General features: G+C 51.9%; 1 protein-coding gene across 7 annotated transcripts in view, besides 1 other annotated feature; it reads left to right on the top strand.

The window, feature by feature from the left end:
* The window catches only part of LMF1 (lipase maturation factor 1), a 127980-nt gene that overhangs the window by 25466 nt on the left and 82943 nt on the right, over positions 1-19571 (top strand). For all 7 annotated transcript variants that reach the window (NR_147885.2, NM_001352019.2, NM_001352017.2 and 4 more), the window contains exon 2: positions 1482-1791. Coding sequence is in view for 3 of the 7 variants with exons in the window: in NM_001352020.1 (NP_001338949.1) it covers positions 1482-1791 (310 nt within the window). In the remaining 4 variants the exon portion in view is untranslated. The remainder of the gene's footprint in view (positions 1-1481; positions 1792-19571) is intronic.
* Positions 7952-8929: an enhancer, noted in NCBI's record as "H3K4me1 hESC enhancer chr16:997219-998196 (GRCh37/hg19 assembly coordinates)". NCBI's record gives its function as "activates a minimal SCP1, AML or CMV promoter by ChIP-STARR-seq in naive H9 embryonic stem cells {active_cell/tissue: H9 hESC(naive)}" and the evidence as "EXISTENCE:reporter gene assay evidence [ECO:0000049][PMID:30033119]".

Below are 19571 nucleotides of genomic sequence, written 5' to 3'. Positions count from 1 at the left end.
GAGACCTGTGGATGTGACAGTGCCATTGTGGGGTGGGCGCCGTGAGACATGAACTCGGAGACCTGTGGATGTGAGAGAGCCGTCGTGCGGTGGGCGCCGTGAGACGTGAACTCAGAGACCTGTGGATGTGAGAGAGCCGTCGTGGGGTGGGCGCCGTGAGACGTGAACTCGGAGACCTGTGGATGTGAGAGAGCCGTCGTGGGGTGGGCGCCGTGAGACGTGAACTCGGAGACCTGTGGTCTGCGTAGAGGGCAAGTGTGGCTCACCTATAGGCAGTAAGTGTCAAGCCCTGCAGCGTGTGCTGGGAGTGATGCCGTTGACCAGAGCCAGGGTCCTCAGGGTGTGTTTCATAATGGTGAATGCTGAGTGCAGTCCGGTTGGTCAGCTGGCTGTCTGTGTGTAGCCAGGCACGCAATTTATATACACATGTCTACTTTACTTCTATGTGTGTGCGTGTATACACACTGCATCTGCTGCAGACACGGAATTTATATACAAGCATCTAGTTTGCTTCTATGCGTATGCGTGGATGCACACACTGCGTCTGCTGCAGGCACCCATTTTATGTAACGTGTCTGGTTCACTTAGATGTGTGTGCGTGTATGCACACACTGCGTCTGCTGCGGGCACGCATTTTATGTAACGTGTCTAGTTTACTTAGATGTGTGTGTGTGTGTATGCACACACCGCGTCTGCTGCAGGCACGCATTTTATGTAACGTGTCTGGTTCACTTACATGTGTGTGCGTGTATGCACACACCGCGTCTGCTGCGGGCACGCATTTTATGTAACGGGTCGGGTTCACTTAGATGTGTGTGTGTGTATGCACACACCGCGTCTGCTGCAGGCACGCCTTTTATGTAACTTGTCTAGTTTACTTAGATGTGTGTGTGTGTATGCACACACCACGTCTGCTGCAGGCACGCCTTTTATGTAACTTGTCTAGTTTACTTAGATGTGTGTGTGTGTATGCACACACTGCGTCTGCTGCAGGCACGCATTTTATGTAACTTGTCTAGTTTACTTAGATGTGTGTGTGTGTGTGCACACACCGCGTCTGCTGCGGGCACGCATTTTATGTAACGTGTCTAGTTTACTTAGATGTGTGTGTGTGTATGCACACACCGCATCTGCTGCAGGCACGCATTTTATGTAACGTGTCTGGTTCACTTAGATATGTGTGTGTGTGGATGCACACACCGCGTCTGCTGCGGGCACGCATTTTATGTAACGTGTCTAGTTCACTTAGATGTGTATGCGTGTATGCACACACCGCGTCTGCTGCAGGTTGGCTTTTCCAGTGTTTCCCCCAAAATCTTGAGAAAGTACTCAGACTCCTGAGTCTAGGGTTTGGCCCCAAACCGTCAGCCAGACTCTGCCTCCCCTTCCCGCCTGCCTCGCCCCGCATTCTGAGCTGCGCCCATGGTGTCCACATGTGGTTTGTTCCTAGTCATGCTTGTTTTGTCTTCTTTTTCTTCCAGTCGTGGCATTCCTGGTGGCTTTCCATCAGAACAAGCAGCTCATCGGTGACAGGGGGCTGCTTCCCTGCAGAGTGTTCCTGAAGAACTTCCAGCAGTACTTCCAGGACAGGACGAGCTGGGAAGTCTTCAGCTACATGCCCACCATCCTCTGGCTGATGGACTGGTCAGACATGAACTCCAACCTGGACTTGCTGGCTCTTCTCGGACTGGGCATCTCGTCTTTCGTACTGATCACGGGCTGCGCCAACATGCTTCTCATGGCTGCCCTGTGGGGCCTCTACATGTCCCTGGTTAATGTGGGCCATGTCTGGTGAGTAGCAGGAATGGGGCGGTCGGAGCTTAGGGCTTGCTGTCACTCAGCACAGGCACTGCAGGTGTCCTGGCACTTGGAAAGACTGGACGAGCGTTTATCTTAAATTCCTTCAGGAGGGTATTGTCATTTTACTTAGGCCATGGCAGAGCGGCCAGTGCACCAGCCACAGCAGCCACCCATCTTCAGGATTAAAACCCCACCTCTTTGCAGTAGCTCTTCCTTACTTAAAGGACTGCGTTGCCAGCTTACTGGAGCCAGAGGGATGGGGAAAGGGAGGCAGAAGCAGTGGGTCTGTGTCTGTGTGGACGTGTAGGAGGCTGGTTTGGGGTGGGTGTCTGTGTGGACGTGTAGGAGGCTGGTTTGGGGTGTCTGTGTGGACATGTAGGAGGCTGGTTTGGGGTGGGTGTCTGTGTGGACGTGTAGGAAGCTGGTTTGGGGTGGGTGTCTGTGTGGACGTGTAGGAGGCTGGTTTGGGGTGTCTGTGTGGACGTGTAGGAGGCTGGTTTGGGGTGGGTGTCTGTGTGGACATGTAGGAGGCTGGTTTGGGGTGGGTGTCTGTGTGGACATGTAGGAGGCTGGTTTGGGGTGGGTGTCTGTGTGGACATGTAGGAGGCTGGTTTGGGGTGGGTGTCTGTGTGGACATGTAGGAGGCTGGTTTGGGGTGGGTGTCTGTGTGGACATGTAGGAGGCTGGTTTGGGGTGTCTGTGTGGACGTGTAGGAGGCTGGTTTGGAGTGGGTGTCTGTGTGGACGTGTAGGAGGCTGGTTTGGGGTGTCTGTGTGGATATGTAGGAGGCTGGTTTGGGGTGTCTGTGTGGATATGTAGGAGGCTGGTTTGGGGTGTCTGTGTGGACGTGCAGGAGGCTGGTTTGGGGTGGGTGTCTGTGTGGACGTGTAGGAGGCTGGTGTGGGGTCCGTGTCTGTGTGAACGTGTAGGAGGCTGGTTTGGGGTGGGTGTCTGTGTGGACGTGTAGGAGGCTGGTTTGGGGTCCGTGTCTGTGTGAACGTGTAGGAAGCTGGTTTGGGGTGGGTGTCTGTGTGGACGTGTAGGAGGCTGGTTTGGGGTGTCTGTGTGGACGTGTAGGAGGCTGGTTTGGGGTGGGTGTCTGTGTGGACATGTAGGAGGCTGGTTTGGGGTGGGTGTCTGTGTGGACATGTAGGAGGCTGGTTTGGGGTGTCTGTGTGGACGTGCAGGAGGCTGGTTTGGGGTGGGTGTCTGTGTGGATATGTAGGAGGCTGGTTTGGGGTGTCTGTGTGGACGTGTAGGAGGCTGGTTTGGAGTGGGTGTCTGTGTGGACGTGTAGGAGGCTGGTTTGGGGTGTCTGTGTGGATATGTAGGAGGCTGGTTTGGGGTGTCTGTGTGGATATGTAGGAGGCTGGTTTGGGGTGTCTGTGTGGACGTGCAGGAGGCTGGTTTGGGGTGGGTGTCTGTGTGGACGTGTAGGAGGCTGGTTTGGGGTGGGTGTCTGTGTGGATGTGTAGGAGGCTGGTTTGGGGTGGGTGTCTGTGTGGACGTGTAGGAGGCTGGTTTGGGGTGGGTGTCTGTGTGGACATGTAGGAGGCTGGTTTGGGGTGGGTGTCTGTGTGGATGTGTAGGAAGCTGGGGATGCGCTGGCTCTTGCATGCCCAGCTTGGTTCCGCCCTCAATGGGACAGCTGGGCTTTGCATGGAGACTGAGGATGGCTCTTGTGTCTTTCGTGGACGGGAGACAGGAGGCAGCTGGCTCAGGGCTGAGTGGTCGGAACCAGGACCCTGTCCCAGGATGGAAGGCTGTGGTGGTGAGTTGGTGCGGGCAGGGCGCAGCCTTGGGCTGTGGAGCCTGTGTTTTCCATCCTGGTCAGGGCGGCTGAGTTGAGGTTGGAGTGTCTGGGGCCACGTGCACTTCCGGGAGCCTGAATGCTCTGCCTCCAGCACAGCGCCTGTGGCTCCGGTGTTCCCTGGTCGGAGGCTCAGATTGCTCTGATCTGGGCTTGGTGGCACAGCCCAGGCCCTGCAGGCTCATGCAGGGAGGGCTGCAGCTGGCATCAGGGCACCTGTGGGGGGGGGTCCCCACTTTGTGGCTGTGCTGGAGTGGGCACTTGTAAGGGGGGTCCCCACTGTGTGGCTGTTGCTGGGGTGGGCACCGCTGCCAGGTCCAGTTGCTGGTGTTTCCTCAGGTCTCAGCTACACTTGAGTGTGTCACCTCATTCAACAAGCAGGCCAGACAGTGTCACCAGGGCAGGGCAGGAGGCCTGGGGATGCCTTGGGCACCCACAACGTGGCTCCGCCCCAGGACCCCTCCACGCACACATGCCTGACTTTGCCGAGGCGCCCATGAGCTGTCAGCACAGGCTGAAGTGGTGTGCTGGGGTCAGGCGCTCTCACGGGAGTCTGCAGGCCTGGGGCCACGTGCAATGCTTGTGGCTGTTTGTGGTTTGCCCCCGATGCCCCAGGCCCTGTGACGCACCTCCCCCGCACATCACGTTCACATGAGCTGTCTCTGCTGACGGTGGCCTGGTGGGGGCTGTGCTTGTTGAGTGTCTGGACGGTGAAGTGGCTTTTTCTCCCTTCACCACATGCTCTTGGTGAGGACGTCGCTCTGCAGTCTTCACTGGAGGTGTGAGGTTCCGCCGCCTCTGGGGGTCTGCAGGAGTCATGAGCCCACCTGCGTGGGAGGCTTCTCTCTGCTCCCCATTTATCGTTCACCTGAGCGTGGTTTGTCGCAGCGTGGACTTGCACGTTTTTGTTTTGGTACTTTGGGGGTCTGTCTTCTTGGTCTAGAAATTTAAACATCTGGGGGTTTGGCAACATTTATGACGGAGAGAGCCACAGCTTAATAATTGTTGCATAAAACTCTAAGTGATTTTAGAGAGGACTCTGACTCTGCTCAGAGCTGGCCTTCCTGTTACATAAAGCCACGCAGCCTTGCAGGACGCTGGAGCCCTGAGCACAGCATCTGCTATAGTATCTGAAGTCGCTTCAGCTTTTCCAGAACATTGGCTCTGACTCCATCGTTGGCTCTGACTCTGTCGTTGTCTCTGACTTTGTCGTTGTCTCTGACTCTGTCATTGGCTCTGACTCTGTCCTTGGCTGACTCTGTCGTTGGCTCTGACTCTGTCGTTGGCTGACTCTGTCGTTGGCTGACTCTGTCAGCTGACTCTGTCATTGGCTGACTCTGTCGTTGGCTGACTGTTGTTGGCTGACTCTGTCGTTGGCTCTGACTCTGTCGTTGGCTGACTCTGTCGGCTGACTCTGTCATTGGCTGACTCTGTCATTGGCTCTGACTCTGTCGTTGGCTGACTCTGTCGGCTGACTCTGTCATTGGCTGACTCTGTCATTGGCTCTGACTCTGTCGTTGGCTGACTCTGTCATTGGCTGACTCTGTCATTGGCTGACTGTTGTTGGCTGATTCTGTCGTTGGCTCTGACTCTGTCATTGGCTGACTCTGTCATTGGCTGACTCTGTCGTTGGCTCTGACTCTGTCGTTGGCTCTGACTCCGTCCTTGGCTGACTCTGTCGTTGGCTCTGACTCTGTCATTGGCTGACTCTGTCGTTGGCTGACTCTGTCGTCTGACTCTGTCATTGGCTGACTCTGTCGTTGGCTCTGACTCTGTCGTTGGCTCTGACTCTGTCGTCTCTGACTCTGTCGTTGGCTCTGACTCTGTCATTGGCTCTGACTCTGTCGTTGGCTGACTCTGTCATTGTCTCTGATTCTGTCGTTGGCTGACTCTGTCCTTGGCTGACTCTGTCGTTGTCTCTAACTCTGTCGTTGTCTCTGACTCTGTCATTGGCTGACTCTGTCGTTGGCTCTGACTCTGTCATTGGCTGACTCTGTCATTGGCTCTGACTCTGTCGTCTCTGACTCTGTCATCTCTGACTCTGTCGTTGGCTCTGACTCTGTCGTTGGCTGACTCTGTCGTTGGCTGACTCTGTCGTTGTCTCTAACTCTGTCGTTGTCTCTGACTCTGTCGTTGGCTCTGACTCTGTCATTGGCTGACTCTGTCGTTGGCCTGACTCTGTCGTTGGCTGACTGTTGTTGGCTGACTCTGTCGTTGTCTCTGACTCTGTCATTGGCTGACTTTGTCATTGTCTCTGACTCTGTCGTTGGCTGACTCTGTCGTTGGCTGACTCTGTCATTGTCTCTAACTCTGTCGCTGTCTCTGACTCTGTCATTGGCTGACTCTGTCGTTGGCTCTGACTCTGTCGTTGGCTGACTCTGTCATTGGCTCTGACTCTGTCATTGGCTCTGAGTCTTTCGTCTCTGACTCTGTCGTTGGCTCTGACTCTGTCGTTGTCTCTGACTCTGTCGTTGGCTGACTCTGTCGTTGGCTCTGACTCTGTCGTTGGCTGACTCTGTCGTTGGCTCTGACTCTGTCGTTGGCTGACTCTGTCGTTGGCTCTGACTCTGTCGTCTCTGACTCTGTCGTTGGCTCTGACTCTCATTGGCTCTGACTCTGTCGTTGGCTGACTCTGTCGTTGTCTCTGATTCTGTCGTTGGCTGACGCTGTCCTTGGCTGACTCTGTCGTTGTCTCTAACTCTGTCGTTGTCTCTGACTCTGTCATTGGCTGACTCTGTCGTTGGCTCTGACTCTGTCATTGGCTGACTCTGTCATTGGCTCTGACTCTGTCGTCTCTGACTCTGTCGTCTCTGACTCTGTCGTTGTCTCTGACTCTGTCGTTGTCTCTGACTCTGTCATTGGCTGACTCTGTCGTTGGCTCTGACTCTGTCATTGGCTGACTCTGTCATTGGCTCTGACTCTGTCGTCTCTGACTCTGTCGTCTCTGACTCTGTCGTTGTCTCTGACTCTGTCATTGTCTCTGACTCTGTCGTTGGCTCTGACTCTGTCGTTGGCTGACTCTGTCATTGTCTCTAACTCTGTCGTTGTCTCTGACTCTGTCGTTGGCTCTGACTCTGTCATTGGCTGACTCTGTCGTTGGCCTGACTCTGTCGTTGGCTGACTGTTGTTGGCTGACTCTGTCGTTGTCTCTGACTCTGTCATTGGCTGACTCTGTCATTGTCTCTGACTCTGTCGTTGGCTGACTCTGTCGTTGGCTGACTCTGTCGTTGTCTCTGACTCTGTCATTGGCTGACTCTGTCGTTGTCTCTGACTCTGTCGTTGGCTGACTCTGTTGTTGGCTCTGACTCTGTTGTTGGCTGACTCTGTCGTTGGCTGACTGTCATTGGCTGACTCTGTCGTTGGCTGACTCTGTCGTTGGCTGACTCTGTCATTGTCTCTAACTCTGTCGTTGGCTGACTCTGTCATTGGCTGGCTCTGTCATTGTCTCTGACTCTGTCGTTGGCTGACTCTGTCGTTGGCTCTGACTCTGTCGTTGGCTGACTCTGTCATTGACTGACTCTGTCGTTGGCTCTGACTCTGTCGTTGGCTGACTCTGTCGTTGACTGACTCTGTCGTTGGCTCTGACTCTGTCCTTGGCTCTGACTCTGTCGTTGGCTGACTCTGTCGTTGGCTGACTCTGTCGTTGGCTGACTCTGTCATTGGCTCTGACTCTGTCGTTGGCTGACTCTGTCGTTGGCTCTGACTCTGTCGTTGGCTGACTCTGTCGTTGGCTGACTCTGTCGTTGGCTCTGACTCTGTCGTTGGCTGACTCTGTCGTTGGCTCTGACTCTGTCGTCTCTGACTCTGTCATTGGCTGACTCTGTCGTTGTCTCTGATTCTGTCGTTGGCTGACTCTGTCATTGTCTCTGATTCTGTCGTTGGCTGACTCTGTCGTTGTCTCTGATTCTGTCGTTGGCTGACTCTGTCATTGTCTTTGATTCTGTCGTTGGCTGACTCTGTCGTTGTCTCTAACTCTGTCGCTGTGTCTGACTCTGTCATTGGCTGACTCTGTCGTTGGCTCTGACTCTGTCGTTGGCTGACTCTGTCATTGGCTCTGACTCTGTCATTGTCTCTGACTCTGTCGTTGTCTCTGACTCTGTCGTTGGCTGACTCTGTCGTTGGCTTTGACTCTGTCGTTGGCTGACTCTGACGTTGGCTCTGACTCTGTCGTTGGCTCTGACTCTGTCATTGGCTCTGACTCTGTCGTTGTCTCTGACTCTGTCGTTGGCTGACTCTGTCGTTGGCTCTGACTCTGTCGTTGGCTGACTCTGTCGTTGGCTGACTCTGTCATTTTCTGTAACTCTGTCATTGTCTCTGACTCTGTCATTGGCTGACTCTGTCGTTGTCTCTGACTCTGTCGTTGGCTGACTCTGTCGTTGGCTCTGACTCTGTCGTTGGCTGACTTTGTCGTTGGCTGACTGTCGTTGGCTGACTCTGTCGTTGGCTGACTCTCTCGTTGTCTCTAAGTCTGTCGTTGGCTGACTCTGTCATTGGCTGACTCTGTCGTTGTCTCTGACTCTGTCGTTGGCTGACTCTGTCGTTGGCTCTGACTCTGTCATTGGCTGACTCTGTCGTTGGCTCTGACTCTGTCATTGGCTGACTCTGTCGTTGGCTGACTCTGTCGTTGGCTGACTCTGTCATTGTCTCTAACTCTGTCGTTGGCTGACTCTGTCATTGTCTCTAACTCTGTCGTTGGCTGACTCTGTCATTGGCTGACTCTGTCGTTGTCTCTGACTCTGTCATTGGCTGACTCTGTCGTTGGCTCTGACTCTCTCGTTGGCTCTGACTGTCATCCGCGCTTGGCTTTGGCAGTGGCCCTGCAGGCTGCTTTGCTGCTCTTCAGCACGGCAGCACCGCCATCCCTTCCCCACTGTCTCGACCCCAGAAGGAAGGAAAGATCCTCTCCAGAAACTTGGACCAAAGTCAGGACACCTCAGGGGTCCTCCTTCCTGTGGCGGGAGCTGCCCTTGGAGCTTCCTTCCTGGGCAGGACGGATGGTGGCTCCACTTCAAAGAGTACTGAGAGCAGCGCCAGGGCTGGAGGGGACGCTGGGAGGCCGCCAGCACCCAGGGACACCGCCCTCGGTGCTTCATTTCTCACTGACGATGAACAGCATGTTTGGGCTCCAGGACTTCAATGTAAGGAGGTTCCACAAGTACCTGCAACACCTTTTCCACCACCTGCCTCTGCGTAGCCCCAACTGGGTGGGTGGGGCCCTCCCTGGCTGGGCTGCAGCCTCTGTCTCTGTGTTAATGCATGGGAAGGGATTTGACAAGGCGTAGACATATTTGATGGTAAAAGTGACGTCCTTTTCATTTCACAAGGTTCAGGGACCCCGTGGTGGGAGGGGTGGCAGTTGCCACACAAGGCCAGGCACTCAGAGAGCCCACCCTGGGCGTCTCTTCTGTCAGCCGGGTCATGGTCGTGTCCTCCTTTCAAATGGCGTGGGAAAAGCCTGATCCTGTTGCTGTGTGCTGGGTGTCTTTGTCTGTGATATCTGACTCCTGCCTAGCACTCAGTCCTGCCTGTGAGCTGACCTCTGAAACAACAGAGTTACCTTCCTGGCTAGACGGGGATTAGTCTCCAGAGCCTGGCAGGTGGGTGAGCGTCTCTCATATGGGAGCCTGTGTGTGTCTGCTGGTGCAACTGTCATCGGGTCATTTACACAGCTGGCAGATACTTGCTGAGCCCCTGCTTGGCACCGTGGACACTGAGGAGGGGGTGCCCTGACTTCAGCTTGGTCAGGCCCACCAGGGCACGTGAGGTCCCTTGAGAGGCAGAGGAATCCATGGCAGGGCATGGGCCATGTAGGTGACTGAGCCCATGTTGTTTGGCTTGAGGTTGGACCTGTGAACGTTCTCTGTTAAGCCCACCTTCCGAACAGCATACCTGTAGACGGGAACTCCCACGAGAGGGGCCTGTGAGCACTCACCTTTCCAGTCTGCTCTAAAAGTCTGCCATAGCCTCAGCAGGAAGACCAGGACTGTCCGGGCCTCACACTGTAAAAGGCCTCTTCTGGCCTTGGATCAGTTGCCTTAGCGGACACCCTGCCCTGGATAGGAGGCCACAGGACAGCGTGGCCGTGGGTGCCTTCTGCAGAGGCTTGTCCCCCTCCTCTCTAGGACTTGCTGGGAGAAGCGCTTCCTTCTGGCTTCCACTCCTGCTTGGAGCTGTAATGGCAGAGTTGGGATCTGAGGTTTCTGGGATTTGCAACAATACAGTGAATTCGGAAAGCACACAAGTGGCTACATCCGCTGCCAGCCAGCTGTCCCCTCCCCTTCGTGGCTGCTGCGGCACATGGGGCTGGCAGACGCCGCACCTTGCCCTCCCTGGCTGGCCTGTGGTTGCAGGTCCACTTCTAAGGCGAAAGAACTCCCATGTCCCATGTGTCATTTGCAGATAACCACAGCTGAAGCCAGCTCCGAGACTCTGCATTGACTTCTTGGTGAACTCTGTGTCCACCATTAGCTTGTTTTGGGGTGAACTCTGTGTCCACCATTAGCTTGTTTTGGGGTGTCCATGTCAGCTGTTTCCAGAGGGTTTCCTATCATTGCTGCATAACAAGAGAAACATTTCAGGCAGCTGGACGCCGGGGGGAGAACAGTCTGTCTTTGCACCTTGTACTGAGGCTTTTCTGGTCCTGCGGGGACTTGGCAACCCAGTCTCCTGCGTCCAGAGCTTTCTTCCACAGTAGCTGTGGTGTATGAACCGTGACTTACTTCATTTCCTAGAGGTGAGTGGATTCCTTGAAGCCACGTAACATGTGTTTCCCAACCCTTTCTGCCAAGACCTTCTACTTCTCCAAATAGATTCCTGACCGTTTCTGCCAATGCCTTCTACTTCTCCAAATAGATTCCCGACCCTTTCTGCCGAGGCCTTCTAGTTATCCAAATAGATTGTGACCCTTTCCGTTCTTAACCTAAATCTCTTTCACATTTTAAACAGATATTTTTTCTTTTTTAAATTTTTTAACTCTGACCCAGTGCCAGCTGAACTTTTTTCTTTTTTTTTTGAGACAGCCTCTTGCTCTGTCACCCAGACTGGAATGCAGTCACACAGTCACAGCCCACTGCAGCCTCAACCTCCTGGGCTCAAGCAATCCTACCTGCTCAGCTTCCCAAATAGCTGGGACTACAGGCACCCAGCACCACACCTGGCTAATATTTTTATTTTTTGTAGAGATGGATGTCTCACTATGTTGCCCAGGCTGGTCTTGAACTCCTGGGCTCAAAGTTCAATACTCCTATCTCAGCCTCCCAAAGTGCTAGGATTACAGGCATGAGCCACCGTGCCCAGCCAAATATTTTCCTTTTTTTTTTTTTTTTTGAGATGGAGTCTCGCTCTTGTCGCCCAGGCTGGAGTGCAGTGGTGCGAACTCGGTCCATTGCAGCCTCCACTTCCTGGGTTGAAGCGATTCTCCCACCTTAGCCTCCCAAGTAGCTGGGATTATAGGCATCTGCCACCACGCCTGGCCAATTTTTATACTTTTAGTAGAGATGGGGTTTCACCATGGTCAGGCTGGTCTCGAACTCCTGACCTCCAGTGATCCACCCGCCTTGGCCTCCCAAACTGCTGGGATTACAGGCATGAGCCACGGTGCCCAGCCCCCTATTTTTTTTAACCTAACAAGAGATATGTATTTCTTTGACTCCGAAGAGTACATCCCATAATCATCAAGGTGCACCAAAGGGGCAGGGATGACAATTGAGACGAGATGGGGTGTTTAGGGCACTGGGGCCGTAGACAGGGCGAGACTTCAGCAAGCAGCAAGGAGGGGCCGTAGACAGGGCAAGCCTGGCAGGGGCAGTTTGAGGGAGAGGACGTCTCACATTGAAACAATACTTTAAAATAAGAGATTTGTCTTCATGGACTCCATGCCCGTCCATGGCAGAGTGGCAGGTGCAGGACGAGCCTCCCCACTATGAAACCGTCAGCAAGTGAAATACCAGAGGGCACAGGTGCCCAGGACTGCTGTCCCTGGAAAGGAGATACATACAGGGTGGCCTTGGTGGCCCCGGCCTTCTGCCTGAGCACCTTGTACACCACAGCTAGGGCACCCAGCAGAACACAAGGCGTCTCCAAGCTCAGGAGGCAGGGATCAGAGTTGAGGGCAGCTTGCATTTGTGCGGCAAGGCATTAGAGTAAAGGAGCTAACACAGACATCACCACAGAAAGCTACATGGATTCCACTAAGTCCTTGGGTTTGTTCTAAGCTGTGAACGTGGAGAGTGAGAGTCTTTGAGGGTTGGTGGAAAGTGGCGGGTAGAGTCTTTGAGGGTTGGTGGAAAGTGGCAGGTAGGGAGTGGTGACCTTAGTGGTGAGTCTGAGGGTCCCACAGTGCTGGCTGGGAGACAAGCCTCCCCATCAGCCGGTCCAGAGGTGACTTGCATAAGACCCTAGGCACTCAGCGCATGCCCCCAGAAAGGCCACATCTTAGGAGGAGGGTTCCTCTCGCCCTAGAAAAGGGCTGTTCTAGACTGACCCTAACTGAGCTTTTGGAAAGACCAAGTTCATCCTCCAGTAGCTCAGCTGCTTACCAGACAGACTCATTCACTCTCCAAAGGAAGCAGACAAAATTAACTTCTCAATGATGTTATGATCTTTCATAATGTCAACTAGAATCAGAAACTACTACACAAGTAAAGAAACAGGAAAATAGGATCCCTATACAGGAAACAAAAAAGGGTCACAAGAAACTGACCATGATAGCCAAGATAGCACACGTAGAAAAGAGGATTTGAGGCAGCCATTACAGATACACACCAGGACTCAAGGGAAGTATTCCTCTTTTTTTTTTTTTTTTTTTTTTTTGAGACAGAGTCTCATTCTGTCCCCCAGGCTGGAGTGCAGTGGTGAGATCTTGGCTCACTTCAACCTCCACCTCGCAGGTTCAAACAATTTTCCTGCTTCAGCCTCCCAAGTAGCTGGGATTATAGGTGTGCACCACCACACCCAGCTAATTTTTGTATTTTTAATAGAAATGGTGTTTCACCATTGTTGGCCAGGCTGGTCTCAAACTCCTGACCTCAGGTGATCCGCCCGCCTCGGCCTCCCAAAGTGCTGGGATTACAGGCATGAACTACCACACCCAGCCTAGTAGTGGTCTTAATGAATGAACACATGGGAAATTTAGCAGAGACTCTGAATCTTTTTTTTTTTTTTTTTTTGAGATGGAGTCTCGCTCTGTCGCCCAGGCTGGAGTGCAGTGGCGCGATCTCGGCTCACTGCAAGCTCCACCTCCTGGGTTCACTCCATTCTCCTGCCTCAGCCTCCTGAGTAGCTGGGACTACAGGCGCCCACCACCACACCTGGCTAATTTTTTGTATTTTTAGTAGAGACAGGGTTTCACCGTGTTAGCCAGGATGGTCTCGATCTCCTGACCTTGTGATCCACCCGCCTCGGCCTCCCAAAGTGCTGGGATTACAGGCGTGAGCCACCGTGCCCGGCCGAGACTCTGAATCTTTAAAGAAGAGTCAATTGGACATTTTAGAACTGAAAAGTACAGTATCTGTACTGAAAAATCTGTTGCCTGGGCTTAATAACAGGTTGGAGGTGGGTAGAAGATAGCCTCAATGAATTTTAAGAGAAATCTGTAGAAATTATCCAAGCTAAAGAACAAACAGAAAAAAGATTGAAACGAGCAGAGCTTCAGTGACATGTGGGATAGCACCAGGTGGTCTAACATACCTGTGATTGGAGCCCCACAGAGAGAGGACACACAGAATGGGGCATATAGCACCAGGTGGTCTAACATACATGTGATTGGAGCCCCACAGAGAGAGGACACAGAGAATGGGGCATATAGCACTAGGTGGTCTAACATACATGTGATTGGAGCCCCACAGAGAGAGGACACAGAGAATGGGGCAAATAGCACCAGGTGGTCTAACATACATGTGATTGGAGCCCCACAGAGAGAGGACGCAGAGAATGGGGCACGTAGCACCCGGTGGGCTAACATATGTGTGATTGGAGCCCCACAGAGAGAGGACACAGAGAATGAGGCATATAGCACCAGGTGGTCTAACATACTTGTGATTGGAGCCCCACAGAGAGAGGACACAGAAAATGGGGCATAAAAAGTATTTAAAGAAATAATAGCTGAATGATATAAATGTGTAAATCCAAGAAGCTCAGCACACTGTAAGCAGTAAAAGTAAGAGAAAATGTTATCTGGGCACATTGTAGTCAAACTACCGAATACCAAAGACAAAGATAGCACCTGGAAGGAAAAAGACGTTACACTCAAAGAATAAAGATTCAAATATGTCTGGCTTCTTATAACCACTGGAGGCCAGAGGATGATGGACTGGCATCTTTAGAGTTCTAAAGAAAAACGATTGTCAACCCAGAGTTCTATCCAGTGACAATATCCTTCAAAAACAAAAGCAAAATAAAGACATTTTCAGATAACGGAAAACTGAGAGAAGGCTTTGCCAGCAGACACACTATAGAAATGTTAAAGGAATATCTTCAGGCTGAAGGAATTATTGCTTGGCAGAAAGAATTATTGCTAGGCAGAAAGTCATCTATAGAAAGGAGTAAAATCCACTGGACATGGTAAAGGTAGGGAAATATGAAATGTTCTCTATTTCTTTTTTTCTTAATTTAATACAGACACAACTAAGGCAAAAACTGTAATACTGTAATATACACAACATTAGCACAAAGGAGGGAGGGGATCCTTCCTGAATCTGTAACATCACTGGCTCTCTAAATTCTACGTGAAGCGAGAAAATATTAACCCCAGGTCTGTTGTGAGTAGGTGAGATACCTGCTGTTAGCCCTAGGGCAATCACTAAAAGTAGTGCAAAGATATGTAGCTGAGGAGCCCATGGAGTGATTGAAATGGAGTGTTAAACATGTTTGCTTCCAGTAAGAAGGCAGGAACAGAGGAACAGGACGAAAAACCAGGTGAGACTCTGAAAACAAAAAATAACCAATGAGCCATATCAATGATTACATTAAATGTAAGTGACTAAATCTTCCAATTAAAAGACAGAGATTTAGAATCAGGCCAGGCATGGTGGCTCATACCTGTAATGCCAGCACTTTGGGAGGCCAAGGCAGGCAGATCACCTGAGGTCATCAGGAGTTCAAGACCAGCCTGGCCAACATGGTGAAGCCTCATCTTTACTAAAAATACAAAAATTACCCGGGCATAGTTGCACGTGCCTGTAGTCCCAGCCACTCAGGAGGCTGAGGCAGGGAGAGTCACTTGAACCCAGGAGGCAGAGGTTGCAGTGAGCCACTGCACTCCAGCCTGGGCAACAGAGTGAGACTCTGTCGCAAAAAAAAAAATCAATTTAAAAAAATCAGGTATCAAGTATATGCAGTTTTCAAGAGCTATGCTTTAAATATAAAGGTACAAATGAGTTGAAAGAGGAAGGATAAAGATAAAGAAGGATAGACTACATAAATATACTGGAAAGCTAGAGTGGCTGTATTAACTTTAGACAAAGTAAAGTTCAGGACACGGAGTATTATCAGAGGTGTACAGAGACATTTTGTGGTAATAAAAGACTTAATTGATCATAAAGACATAAAGGCACCACATACTGAACCTCACAATATATGAAGCAAAAATTGCAGAACTCCAGGAAGAAATACACAAATTCACAATTCTGTTTGGAGATTTTAACATCAATCACTCTTTCAATAATTGAAAGAACAACTAAACAAACAAAAAAAAGAAGACATAGAAGATCAGAACGGCACTATCGGCCACTTTGACATAATTGATGAATCCCTTTACCCTGCAGTACTTCCGGGTGTTTTTCCTAAGAAGAGTGTTCTTTTCATTCCTGCAGGGATCAGCTGCAGTAGGTTTAACACGGTTGCGGTTCTGAGACTGCGTCTCCCACTCATTTTCCAGTTTGTCATCTGACCTAAGGATAATCCTTATAGCATTTACTTTCCAGAATAGGGTTCGGCGTTGGGTTTAGTTGTCTGGTCTCTTCTGGGACATCCATCTTTTATGACACTGATATTTTAAAGTTATGCATTCCTTTAAATAAATGGTGTTCCTCTTTGGGGTTTCCCAGCTGTTTCCTGTGGTCGTCGTCCCAGGCAGGACGCTGCCTGCGGGGAGGACCCTCCCACACCACCTGCCTTGTCCTCCATGATATGCTGGTCCCCGGTGGGTGAGCCTGTGTTTCTAGGTGGTCAACAGGGAATGGAGATATGTCCAAACCAGTTCCCATGGCCCTGTGAGAGATGCATGGCGGCATTCTGCAGCCATGACCGTGACCACGTGGGGAGGCTTCAAACAAGAAACACTTACTCTTCCACAGTTCTTGAGGCCAGAAGTCCGAAATCAGGGTGTCGGCAGGGCCAGTTCCACCCAAGTCTCTATGGGAGGAGGGACCTTCCCTTCCCTCCGAGTCTCTGCGGGAAGGTCCTTCCTCGTCTCTTCCAGCCCCTGGAGGCTCCGGGCACCCCCGGCTTGTGGACGTATCACTCGGGTCCCTGCCGCTTTGCCTCCTCCCCTTTGGTCTGTCTCAGGGTTCCTGGTACGTCTCTCTGATGAGGACGTCTGTGATCACATAGTCCAGGACGCCCTCACCTCGAGATCCTTAACTTAATTACCTCCACAGAGACCCCTTTTCCAAATAAGACAGGGTGCAGGCATTAAGATGTGGACAGGTCTTTCTGGGGGCCTCCTTTTAGCCCACTGCCCAGGGCTTCTCTCTAATAAAGGTGGGCTCAGACTGCGCACCCTGTTTTATTCCCTGTCTGGTCACTTAATTCTTAAACAATTTTCATTACCTGGTCCTTATGACAATATTGGAAATAACCAAAGTTTTTTTACTTCCCGTCAAATCACAAGTATCTTCCCATCTCGCCGACGTTGTCTTACAGCAGCTTTGGTCAGCATGTACTGCTCCTGACAGAGGCAGAGGCCGCGTGGAGAGTGGGCCGGGTCGCCGCAGACACAGCAGGGTCGAGGCCTGGCGCCGGCAGTCTCAGCGACGCACTGGTCATTGCCCCAGATGCCACGCGCCCGTCTGGACCTCCGCTGCTCGGCGGCACGTGTGGTGGCCACAGGGTGGTCTGTTACGTGTGTTTGCTCATTGCGCCAAGCCCACCGGCCGGCACGTTGGTTGTTCCTGGTTTTTATTGCTGGAAGTGGCACCTCGGTGGCCAGCTTTGTGGCGCAGGGATATTTTGCAGGGCTGTGACTTACTGTGTGAACTAGCTCCTGAGGTGGGCTGCTGGGTCAGGGTGTGCGTGGTGGACGGGTGCCGCCAGCCTGCACCCAGGGTTCGTGCTCACGGCGGGGACAGCGTGCTGTTGTCCTGTTCCCTACTCAGAACATCCCATTTCCGAAAAACCACTGAGAGTTTTTAAGTGAAAATAATGTTATTTAAATACGCATTTCTCTGCCAAGTTATTTTTCTTGGTTTTGCTCTTGTTGTTTCTCTGGGGATTTGTGTTTTGCCTTTGCCGTTCCCCTTTGGTGTGAATGTTCTTTGTTTATCCATCTGTAAGAGGCCCTGCTGTCCGGGAAGGTAAATGCACGTGGAAGGTGTAACCCCTTGGCCGCATCCCATTCTGTATGCACGGACTTTGCTTTCTGCACAGGTTTCCTCTTGTGTCCAGTCTGCCCGTCTTTCCCCATTTTCATTGCTGCCTTAGGTGCTTTGTCGAAACGGCCTCCAGCACTTTTTCCTTACACTTTTAAGGGCTATTTACATATTTACATCCTGTTTTAAATTGCTTACCTGTAGTGAATGGACTATGTACTCTGAGGTCGGTTTTCACACAGTAATGGGAGCACTGTCCATCCATCCCTTCGTCTGTCCATCCATCCATCTGTCCGTGGGAGCCACACATGCACTTGGTGCTCCCTGCGCTGCCTGGCTTCAACAGCCCGGGTCCTCCCAACAGCCCTGGGACCTGGACTTCCTCTTGGCAGCTCCAGTAAGAGGCAACAGGCGACAGATGTTTGCAAAGACACCTCTTGTTATTACCATTTTATTTTCTCTGTTGTATGAACTTAAACATTAGGGTGGCAGCAGTCATGTCTTCAGTGAACCAGTTGCCTCACTGGCACTGCCGAACTGGTATGTGTGGTCCAGCCCCACCCCTGCCATCCCCACGAGCTGCCATCCAGCCCCATCCCTGCTGTCCCCGCGAGCCGCCGTCCAGCCCCATCCCTGCCTTCCCTGTGAGCCGCCGTCCAGCCCCGTCCCTGCTGTCCCCGCGAGCCACCATCCAGCCCTGTCCCTGCAAGCCACTGTCCAGCCCCATCCCTGCCGTCCCCACAAGCCACTGTTCAGTCTAGCGCTTCCCTGTGCCAGGCAGGCCATGGCCCTGCACAGCGGGACCCAGCGTCCCGGCCTTGCCAGTGCTAGCTGGCACCCCGTTCCGTGATTGAGTGGGAGGCACAGTGGTCTGGTGGGTGCTCCACCCCCTCTCCTGCGAGGCGGGTAGACATGGAAGCCCCCCAGCTGCTCTCACCCAAAGGCGCCCCTCTTTTTTTGTGGTATTTTTTTTTTGGTAACTTCTGTAAATAAATCCACGTTTGGCCTTCACCACATGACAAAGACTTCAGTCTTGATGGTGGGATCAGCTGCAGACACAAGTCAGGAACCTGGGCGTGGTTCAGGATCAGCTGCAGACACAAGTCAGGAACCTGGGCGTGGTTCAGGAGGACATGGTTCATGATTAAGTCCCTACTACACACTCTAGATAGGCCTCCAGCAAAGTTCTTTGCACTAGGCCAGAAACTGGAAGATTTCTTACAAATTTACAACTAGCCTGCCCCAAAATGGGGAGCATAAAATTTAACAAATATTTATACATGAAGTCTTTTTACAGATGATAAGTAGCTGGAGCCAAATGTGTTTTTAAATCAAAAGCTTCCTATAGAAATGGGAGCCCCCATCCAGTGCAAGGGGCAGGGCCTGTGCTGGGGCCGTGTGCAGCATCTGCAGGGCATCGGGGGTCTTGCTGCCTCCCTAGCACAGAGACCCCAACGACCTGTCAGTCAACAGAGACCCCAGCAGCCTGTCGGTCAACAGAGACCCCAGCAGCCTGTCAGTCAACAGAGACCCCAGCGGCCTGTCAGTCAGGTGTGGAGGCTCACAGGGGAGCAGGTTCCTGACCTCACTAGGCAGTCAGAGGGAGCGTGTTAACCCCGACCATCCAAAAGCAAAATCTACGTCCCACTGTCCAGGAAAGGACTTGAGTTTCTTTAAAGAACAAAACAGCAGAACAAACCCAGAAGAACTCCACGGAGTCGGTATCTTCTAACGTGAGTTCCAACTGTTGAAAATGTAATAAAAGCTATGAAAGTAATAAGACGTTTTAGTTTTTCGTGTCATTACCTTAGCTAAAACCTGCTATTTAAAGATTCTTTTATCAGGCAGCCTTGAAATGCAAAATTCAAAGCAGGTGAAGTGACAGAAGAATGCATTTTCGAACACCCTCAGCCGATGTGAAGGCAGCTGCGTCTGGACTCACCCCTTCTCTGCACAACGCTTGTATTTTGGTGGCCCTGAGTCACTGAAACTCTTCCAGGCCTTGGTCCCTTCTGATAAAAGCGTGAGGCTGCGTCTTTTTAGCTAGGATCTCCCGCCCTGTCGCCCAGGCTGGAGTGCAATAGTAGCGCGATCTTGGCTCACTGCAGCCTGGAACTCCTGGGCTTAAGCCATCTTCCAGCCTCGGCCCCAAGGTCACTGGGACTACAGGTGTGCGCCACCACACCTGGCTAATAAAAGAGCAAAGCTTTTATTCTCTATGGATTTGAAAAATCAGCTCCTTTTCCTTTCTCCGTTCAACTAAGGTTATATATTGGGAACATTTTGGGGGTAAATTTATTTCTAGCATTAGCCAATGTGTACAGCGGTTGCTTGGAAGATTTTGGTCACGGAAAGGGGGGCAGGGAGTGTATCCTGCAGCCCACAGAGTGCCCTCTCTCCCTCCCAGCCTCCTTCCTCAGCCCACGGGGTGCCCT

The sequence above is a fragment of the Homo sapiens genome, chromosome 16 (genome assembly GCF_000001405.40).
Source record: "Homo sapiens chromosome 16, GRCh38.p14 Primary Assembly".
In the NCBI taxonomy this organism is placed as follows: Eukaryota; Metazoa; Chordata; class Mammalia; order Primates; family Hominidae; genus Homo; species Homo sapiens.
This window is presented reverse-complemented; position numbering and strand designations above follow the sequence as displayed.